Genomic DNA, 10,664 nt, shown 5'->3' with positions numbered 1-10,664 from the left:
TCTATTTCCTCTTACACCATTTGCAAGTGCACTTCGCTATCATCATGAAGATTTAATTAAGCAAGCTCAGCTAGGCTAAAAAGCAAAGAGGCTGAAAGTTACTACTTATAGAAACATATTCAGGACTTACACAAAATAATTTATTTACTATTCTTCATTTAGGGATTTGAGCAACCACTGAAGGTTAAGAATACAACAGAATTCTATAGCTCCTTTCCCCTATTTCTGAATATCAAATTTAGAGCTTAGACTTTGTTACAGATAATAGTACTAAGTTATGGATGTTGATGGGTCTTCCCTTGCAGCTTTAAATTGCCTTGAAAAAGATACAGTTTCTTTAATTAAAAAAGCTGCACAGAACTAATCCCTCTAGCTGAAAAAAGAAAAGTTTTAAGCAATCTCTTTCTGCTCCGAGAGAGAAAGGCAGACAATACCATAACAGATCAGAAACATAAGCTATAGTGTGCAGCCAGGAGCACAGCAGGGAACTGAATACTGCTCCGACTGTGTCATTTTTTAATCCCCCATCCCAGTTTTCCCCGTCTGACCTCATGCTGAGATGAAGTTATCACAGAAGACAGCTTTACTCTCACCAATGAATCCAACCCTGGATCTGTATTATCCTTAGCAGATCAAAACACCGCTTTCATCAAATAGCATTATCTGCATAAAAGGCATGCAATTGCCTGATAATTTCACCCAAACTATGCTATTCATTTAAAGGACAAGAAGAGAAATGTAATTCATTCCTTTTTGGGGGGGGGGAGGTGGCAGAGAAGAGTGAGACTTGGGGAGAGGCAGAGGCTGGAAAAGCTAACTTATCCCCTTCACTCATGGGAACTTTCCTGTTTTTAACACAAAATCCCAAGAAGGGGTCCATTTAAAAGTCCCCCTACTCCTGCGCTTTAAGATTAATTGTTGGAGCAATTTGGTGCAGTTTGAGTGACAAAAGTGTAAGTTGTGTAGAAAACTGGCAGTGAGAAATTACAAAGCTTGCTGATGTCATTAGCCATGCTTCCATGAACCCCAATAAAAACATCATATCCAGTAAAATTGGAGAAGCACAAGAATTAGCTGGACAATTGGATGAAGTTTAACACAACGTTGTATTGGGTGGGGGGGGATGCTGACTGGAGATCTTTCTGTGCATTATGAGAAGTTTGAATCCTTACAGTGGGAAGACAAAAGACAGATTCCACAATTCTGAGTTGACACTTTGAAAAATATTTAAGAAATCTTAGGCGTCAAGACTAGCTCTTTTTTAAAATTTAGAAAATACTTTAGCCTCTTTCAGAATGCCTTTTTCATCTTATGTTGAAACAGTGTTCTCATTTGCATTGTAGATTGTATAAGCTGTTATAATGGGCTTCTCTTTAATGGATCCTAACTCCTTATTGAATGACATCAGTTGTTTTGCTCAAGGTATGGTGATAGGTTAGAGCAATCAGCCAAAACCATTTGTGTCAAGTAAATGGAATTACTAAGAAGTACTAAAACTCCCACGTGAGTATGGGTGACCTATTAGGTATGTGTTAATATCCTTATCATATGTTTTACTCACCGTAATTTCAATGATTTTGCTTGAAAATGTAAATCTTCCACCCAGCCCTTTCAGAACTCACTATGTAAACTGACCCTGCAAGAAATTCAGTTTAATCTCTACCCTTCCATCACCCAGACAACATCTATACACAAAAATGTGTAGGACAAAGAATCAGAACTGCTTGAAAAAAGAACAACAATAGCATGCTTCAAATCAGAGGCAAGGAACACTCCTGGAAATTCATGAGGCAAGTGACGGGGCAAGAATTTTTCCCTTGAAAGAAAGAAGCTGGTTCTAGAAGAAAGTAATTGTAGCCCTATTATTCATTATCATTGCCACTTTAATTACATGGAGGTATTCCCTAAAACATTTCAATGCAATTAATAAACAGGTGTTTTTTTTTTCCATACCAGCTTTCCAAAACTACAACTTGATACTGTAGTGCTCTGAGACTAAGAGTCTATGTAGATATATGGTCTGCTCAGTAGTAAAGCTCCAACTGATGTTTCCAAAATACAGCTTCATGACATACAAATTATCTGAAATTTAATGTGATTAAGCATTAAACTGTGGTATTTCCTTGAATTTAATGACAGTACTATTTTCATGTCAAACTTGATTACAAGAACCAGCTTTCAGAGCAAACTGTTTAAAATCCCAAATCATTAACAGATCATTTAGGGTTCAGTCTCACAAAACTTCTTGTCTGTGAACTATCAACTAAGGATATGTAAGCAGAGAGGTGAGTTTCACATTCTTCTTACATATGTGTTGGTTGGGAGAAACTGAATCTACAAGTCACATTTCTGTCTGTTAATGCCAGGAGAGGAAAGATGTTTACATCATCAATACCACCGCCACTCTTAACAACATACTTACGACGAAGTTCGTGGTCATATGCTATTTTCTCAAAGCCTGTCATGGACCGTTACACCCATTTGAAATGGACATAGACAACTTCCTTAAGACTTTAGAAATTTAAAATACAACATAAGATTTTGATATTTTGATATTTCGTCTTTACTTTCACTTCAAGTCTGTATTCAACTCATAGCTGATTTTTCTAAGAGACTAAACCTGGTTCATCCATAAATCCTGATGTCAGAAGTACATTAGGCCACAGTTGTGTGAATTACCTTAGTCTGGAAACCTAAGCCATCATCACATGGGTCATGGAATTCTTTCTTTCTTTGCTTAAAGATGACACCAGAAACACCACTACTCTTAGGGTACAAACGTCCCAAGTGAGACAAAGAAAGATATTTCTAACAACCTTCTAGGTAAAGCTATCCTCTTGCCTAAAACTTTGGATCATTTTTGGAATTTTTTTTTTTTTTTTTTTTTTTTTTTTGAGACCGAGTCTCACCCTGCTACCAGGCTGGAGCGCAGTGGTGTGATCTCGGCTCACTGCAACGTCCGCCTCCCGGGTTCCAGCGATTCTCCTCCCTCAGCCTTCCTAGTAGCTGGGATTACAGGCGCGCATCACCACATCCAGCTAATTTTTGTATTTTTAGTAGAGATGGGGTTTCACCATGTTGGCCAGGATGGTCTCAATCTCCTGACCTCGTGATCCACCCTCCTCGGCCTCCCAAAGTGCTGGGATTATAGGTGTGAGCCACTGCACCTGGCCAAACTTTGGTTCATTTTTGGTGCTTAAGACAGCAGAGCTTGGTTTTCTCTGTGGCGTGATGCATTTCTGAGAAAAGAGAGTTGTGGAATAAAGCCATGAAACAGTAGAAGAGTCATATTGAAATACAGCAAGCTCCTACGGGCCATGTGATCTGATTTTTAGTTTACCTGATGAAGACGTAGCTCTGGCTTTGTTTGCTTTAGTGAAAAACATAAGAAGCCAGGCATTTCTAGAGCAGACTGGGGGAAAGAAGAATCTGGCCTGGGCAGAGAAGCATCCAAATTTCTTTCTGTGTTTACCTAACACTTCTTTCTTAGCCCTGTACTCCAAGTCCAGCACTTTTAATCCACAAAATCTGTGAAAGACCAGGATTCACCTTCCCCTCTTTTATCCTTGGATAAGATATCTAGGAGGAGAAAAAAGTAGGCCATGAGAAGATTATGAGCTAAGAGTCTATAAAGAGGGAGGAAATTGGCAGTGAGAGAATCTGAGTTAGGGGAAAGAGAAGGGAGAACAAGCTTAAACTGAAGATAAACTAAGAGGATGCTGGAAGGAAGAGAGGGTGCATGTGAGATTCCTAGCTTAGAGTCCTGGCTTAATGGAGCTCTGCATTTATCTTCAGTCTCTATTTACACTGATCAGTGAGTACTAGAATCTTGCCTCAAGAGTTTACAGTGTGACTTAGAAACTAGATTTAAATCAGGCCATGGTACAGGCAATATTTATTTTCAAACTTATTAGAAATCAACCTTTACTACCTTTTGGAATAATGTTGATAATAAAGAGGTTCCTTATTGAAATTTGAAGATTATCTTGATGACAAATATGCTCTAACTATCTATGGTAACCCTGGACCAATGATTTTCTAATTGTTGCCTTTAGACCCCCTGTAAGCAGAATCACCTGAGGGTTCTTGAGAACATATACGTTTCTGGGCCCTATTTCAGCTATAGGGAATCAGAATCCCCAAGGATAGGACCAATAAATTAGCATGTTAAACAAGTCTTCCAGAACATTCTTACTCAAAGGGAAGTTTGAGAAATATTGCCCTGGGTTAAATATTTTTCATAAAGTAAATATATATTTCAGTTTTAACATTTCCCTATTAAAAAGAAGTTGTTGCAAAAAACTGTCATTGAATTATTTTCAGAACTGACACAGTCCCATTTAAGAAAGAAATCAAAATTCACAAAACGAAGAGGGTGAGAGTATCTACCAGAAGAAATTCCAGCTGAAAATTCAGTGACACTTCAAAATTCAATTTTGGATTATATTTTCTAAGAGTCGTAAAATAAATGTTATAAACTGAGATGGCATTTTCTATGTATTTTAATAGTTGGAACACTGTGTACAAATTTTTGCTGGCTATCTTGTTTAATATTTTATATACGATTCTAAAATTATATAAATTTTGGGATGAACCTTTAAATATGTATTAGTTCTATTTATTATCAGAAATTAAAGAATGCTCTTGTGAAATGGAATAGAAACTAACTCAACTTGTGTAGCCTTTAATAGAAATCCCGAATAAATATATCAAAAAAAATGAAGAGCTTTATTTGGAAGCTAGGCATTGACAGGTCAGCATCCCATGCTATTTCTAGGATGGTTTTCATAAGCATTGCTCATGCCGAAAGCCCTTCAATTTTTAACATAAAGCATTATCACTATCCTGCCATCTTCACTTCCTTCTTTTGCAATGACTTGTCTCTGAAGGATGTGACTTTTAACAAAGTACTGTGATTACACTTAAGGACGTGACCCTGTTTTCTCTTATATTGCAGATTTAAAGTCCTTATGATAAGTAGTGGGAAAAGCATAAAAACAAGTCTTTCTTTTGATGTTGTCTTGACTACTGCAATTACCTGGTCTGCATCCTATTTTCCCTCCTCCTCCTGACTCGCCTGGCCTACACGCATGTTTTCTTGCAGACAACGTGCCCACCACATAGCATACATTGTCTCATGTGGTCCTCATAACAACTTCACAAGTCGTTACTATTATTTTCCTCATTTTAAAGATCAGTACATTGAAAAGTAAGTAATTTGCCCAATGTAAGTAGAAGAGCCAGGATTAATTACACTTTTTCCAGAGCCCAAACACTAAGAATGACACATATTTCTAGGAGGAATAGAACCTGCTCTGATCATGTTAGTCACACCCATATAAAATCTTACACACACACAGAACTATGAACTAGAGTTTAATGAAAGAGCAATGCCTCTTAAGAACACATATACACGCCAATGTGAATTCCACAAAGAAAATACTTTATTGCTTGAGTCTGCTTTTGAGAAAAGTCATTTTATAATATGAAAAAAATTGAACTTGACAAAACTTTAGGTCCTGTTCCAAGCAACTTTACTCATCTTCCTTTGTTTTATATGTTGTACAGATTTACAGGAAAATTGCTCCTAATATAACACTTTTTTTTTTGAGACAGATTCTCGCTCTGTTGCCCAGGCTGTGGCAGTGAGTGCAGTGGTGTGATCTCAGCTCACTGCAACCTCCACCTCCCAAGTTCAAGCAATTCTCTGCCTCAGCCTCCCAAGTAGCTGGGATTACAGGCACTCACAACCAGGTCTGGCTAATTTTTGTTGGTTTTTTTTTAGTAGAGACGGGGTTTCACCATGTTGGCCATGTTGGTCTTGAACTCCTGACCTCGTGATCCACCCGCCTCAGCCTCCCAAAGTGCTGGGATTATAGGCATGAGCCACTGCGCCCGGCCTATAACCCATTTTATAATTCATTTACCAATTTCTCTAAATAACATTACTGCAAACCTCAGCACATATTTTTGAATGATGGTTGAAGGCTAGACTTACAGAAGATTTCAGCTCCAGAAGGGTGGTTCCCTCCTCCATTATTCATCTATTCAGGATAAAGTAAAAATCACTGTTTTAAGGACTGAGTATAGTTCAGGGATGATAAACATTTGCCAGCCTGATAAAAAATTTCCAGGAAGGCTGTAACTGCTCCAATGTTTAGCTTGTAGAAGTTGGTAATCCTCTTTGAAAGACCAGGGAAGTTAAACAAGGTGAATTGTAAGTTTGCTGCTATTTGAAATTACAAATCATTGAAAAACTGTCCACTAGAACACCTTAGGGAGTGAATGGCAGATAATAATGGTTTATGTGTGGTTGCAAAACAATAATGAACCTGTCTAATCAATTGTTCTGAATAGCAGTAGATCACAGTGGAAGGAAAAATACACATCCTTATTGACCCCTTGTGTATTCTGTTACATTTCATTCTTGTGACTTTTGAATGGTTTCCTTTCATACTTAATCATGCAGTGACAGATTAACCCTAAAATGGTTACCCTTAACTCTTCCTACAGGCAGCATTTAAAATAAATAACTGAAACCAGAGCAGAAGGTAAACCCAGTATCTTTGCCTCTTTATGGATATGATATATTCATGATAAAAACGCTAATATCAAATCTAAAATGAACATAAAATAAATCAATGCTAATCGTGGGTGAGGTTTTTGATTTAACAAAAGACTTAGTAAAATAAAAAATTCATAGTCATAAACAGAAAGAAAAATGAACTATGACCTGAGCTCATTTTATCCATTTAGGTTTATCTTCTAACAGATCCATAGTAGTGTGGCGAAACGTATTTTGCTGTGATCTGCAATCACTGATAAACTATGAAATGATTGCTTGTACTGGGCACATTAATTTTACATGTATGGACATGCCATATGTTCAGGGTTAAATTGTAGAAAGCAATCTCTTTGTCTGTTCTGCACACCCCAACCTCCCCCACTACATTTAGAGTTTCTACAGTGTTTACGTTAACACAGTTTATATAAGAAAGGTCTATTGAAATAATTAGTTTAGATTCACTTGTGCAGATGACTTGGCCAAAAACCCACTTGAAACACCAAGGGTCACCATTATCACCAACAAACTGAACTGTTATCAAATAACAATTTCATGTCATCCTGGGGTTAAATCTGCCACACAAGAAGTAATAGTCCTCTATCTGCTTCTCTTAAGATATTAAGAGAATCAAATGAGATAGAATTTAAACTTTAGAGGGTTAGAGTTTATTATTAATATCTTTCATTTATCTAACCAATTATTTTCTTCTAGTTCAGCTTACGTAGGAAAAATTCAAAATAAATATAATGTAATGATTTGTGTGAAATGATGCTAAAATCGTTCGGCTTTGTCTTAAACATTTATCTAATACCAACTGTCCAGATCCAAAGATGAAAAAAAAAACGGCATACAGGATCAGGATTTATAAATGGTTCTTTTCTTCTTGTGGTAATATGTTATGTTGAGCCATTCCAGTTCATTCAACAACTACTTCTTTTACTTGGTAATGAAAATGTGCACACTGACTGAGGGTAACGTCTCTGACTAGGGAAGTAGACACCTCCAAAAGTGGCCTACATGGGGTTTGATGTGAAGCCTTAATTTATTGCACTGTCACTTAAACACATAGTACAATGTTTTTGTAACTGTTAATTATGTATTGCTAAGTATTAATCAGCTATAAAAAGAAATGTGATTTGTATGTGTGTAAGTTTGATCCATTTATCTTACTAGTATTGATCTGCTATGAGTTTTCTTTTTAGATATCAAATTTTGGTGACAATACCACTAATGGAATTTGTGTCACGTTCACCTATACAAATTACTTTGCCGTATAGTATTTTAATTCAGTAAAACCTTTATTTAGAAATGTCATAATTTCTTTAACTCGATAACTAAATTGTCTCTAAATATAAAAATCTAGATTTAAATTAAATTGCACATTATTTTTGTAGTTATGATATCTGAGACTACCCTCTCCCTGAAGAGTATTTTTAAAAAGAGTTGGCTTTGCCTAGATTTAGATAAAATATCACAATCTAATTTGGAGTGGTAAACTATTCTGACGTTTTAACTTCCTTGTAATTTTATGACTACATTAGAAACTTTACAGTAAGAACAATAGTAGCCAACTCAATATAGATTTGTATACTGTATTTGGAGATACCCTCACATATACTTATGTATTTGTGTATGTATGTGTGTCTGTGTATTTAGATCTCTTTCTCCTACTATAGTGTTATAGTTTTAAGCTAATTGTCTCTTGGGTGCTTATAATCTTAAGGAAGATGCTTTTAAAACACTGCAATTGAACATTGACCTTCTTTTTCTTAATTTATTATTTACCTAATGCATACTTTTACCTATAAAAGAATCAGTGTAAGATGGAAAACTTTTAATTTGATTACTTATATATCAATTGCCAAAAGGCTGATTTCAGCAACAAAAAGTACAGCACTAACCTTTTTGTGGAATCCACTCTTTGATTATCCTTTCCTAATTACCTATCCTTCGACACCTAAAGCTTTTAATTTCTGTTTTTTTCTTGATGGGTGATCTATTATAGTCTTTCAAGCCAGGTGGTTCTGCTGATATGTTTAATAATTTCAGTTACTATGCTTTGTAACATTTTGATCATATATAATACTACGCCTTCTAAATTTGATTCTTCTTCATTCAGGAAGCAGGAATTCTGAAGAGTAAATTGATTCATATTTGACAACACAGATTTGTGATACTCTAAAAATACCAGGTTTCTCACATTTTCCTTCTCCTTTTATTATATATTATGAGATATAGATTTCCATGTATGTATTATAAATATTCTAAGCTAAATATATGTAGGTAGTAATTCAAATCATTTATACTTAACACAATCTATCTACTGCTGACTGCTGTTTGTGACTATGTGCATTAGCAACATTTTTTCAGATGATATTATGTGAATTTAAAACGACTTAATAGTCATATACTTTGCACAGCGCTAGCTGTCTGTTGCTTCAGGATGTAACCCTATTCCCGCCTTTTCCCATGCTTTGTTGCCACAGATCTTTCTGCGTGGCCTCAAATTAAGGCATTTTCTTCCCTCGTGACCTGCTTTAAATTTTTTTGGAATGTGAATAATTGTGATGACAGAATTAATTTGAGTATGAAAAATATGAGAGAAAAAAGTCTATTACATTTTGCTCAAGTTAATTGTCAATGTTGTGAAACTGGATAGTAATAACAAACCAACTTCTGTAATGTCAAATCAAAGGTAATTTCTGAAGTTGATTTTTTGAGTTGTTTCAGGGTTTAATACAGTGCCAGTGATGAAATGAAAAGTAACAATTATTACCTATTTAATGATAAATTTAGGAGAAAATATTCAATTCCAGTTGTGTATTTTAAATGAGGATTTCCAAAATTCTCAAATTTACTAACTTCGTTCTTAGTGTTATACCGCAGGATGATGTGTCATTTTAGGGACACGAAGAAAAGAACAGTAAGTTAATAAGGAATTGTTCACCTTAAAGAAAACTTGAATCTTAATAGGGAAAAAGGAACAATAGAAGCACTAGTTAAAACTGTTGAAAAGAAACAAGTACAGGCCAGGCGCTGGTGGCTGAAGCCTGTAATCCCAGCATCAGTAGCTCATGTTTGTAATCCCAGCACTTTGGGAAGCTGTAGTGGGAGGATCACTTGAGTGCAGGAGTTAAAGACCAACCTGGGCAACATAGCAAGACCCGTCTCTTAAAAAAGTAAAAAATAAGAAAAGAAAGAAAGAAACAAGTACAAAACTCAAATTTTATTAATAGTTCATATGCTAATAGCATAACTACAAGAAGATACTCAAAAAAAATGCCTACATAGAAAAAAAAAGGATAAGATAACATCCATTAAAATTGGAAAATGGATTACCATATAAAATAGGGTTTCTGCGTTTTTTTCCACAGATTTTACATAAAATATTTTATCCTTTTGACCAAAACAACAAAAAAAGTGAAACATCATTAATAATATTATTTGGTAATGTGGACCAATGAACTATATTATAAAGTAGTACTATAATACTAAACAAACCTATTAAACTTCCTATAAAGAAATTTTTTTTCACCTAAAGCAAATATTCATTTAATAACTTTTTGATTTATTTATTATACACATCCTGCTGAATTTATATTTAATTCTCTTAATGTCTAAATTTGATCATCACAGTAAAATATACTTTAGCAAAAGAAAATTGACAAATGAAAACAAGAATATTATGACTTTTTTATCTCAAGTTTATATACTTTTCTGAATATGCTAGTTTGCATGCTATATAGACTATACATTGAAAACAAAATTGCAAAACCATTGCTTGCTTGATAACTCCATTTTTGAAAAAGAGTCTTTCAGTAAACTTTGTTCTGCTCCAAGAGAACAGAGCTCCTTTTAAAAATGTAGCAAATAGTTTCAGCATGATCTTTTCCTTTATGTTTTATTTAAAATGTTAATGGAGTAAATCCACAATTCACATAATTTATTTTGAAATACTATTGTTCAGAATAATGCATCATGAGAACAGTGATATACAGGCAAGTTCCCTTAAAGAACATGCATCAGTTCAGTTCCCTTTTGAAGCATATTGCAAATGCCCTCTAACAGGGCACAGCAACATTACATAAATCATCTTATA

General features: G+C 35.0%; 1 protein-coding gene across 7 annotated transcripts in view; it reads right to left on the bottom strand.

Moving 5' to 3' along the window:
- The window catches only part of TENM3 (teneurin transmembrane protein 3), a 1,355,412-nt gene that overhangs the window by 664,926 nt on the left and 679,822 nt on the right, over positions 1-10,664 (bottom strand). The gene's annotated exons all lie outside the window — the stretch shown is intronic.

The sequence above is a fragment of the Homo sapiens genome, chromosome 4 (genome assembly GCF_000001405.40).
Source record: "Homo sapiens chromosome 4, GRCh38.p14 Primary Assembly".
In the NCBI taxonomy this organism is placed as follows: domain Eukaryota; kingdom Metazoa; phylum Chordata; class Mammalia; order Primates; family Hominidae; genus Homo; species Homo sapiens.
This window is presented reverse-complemented; position numbering and strand designations above follow the sequence as displayed.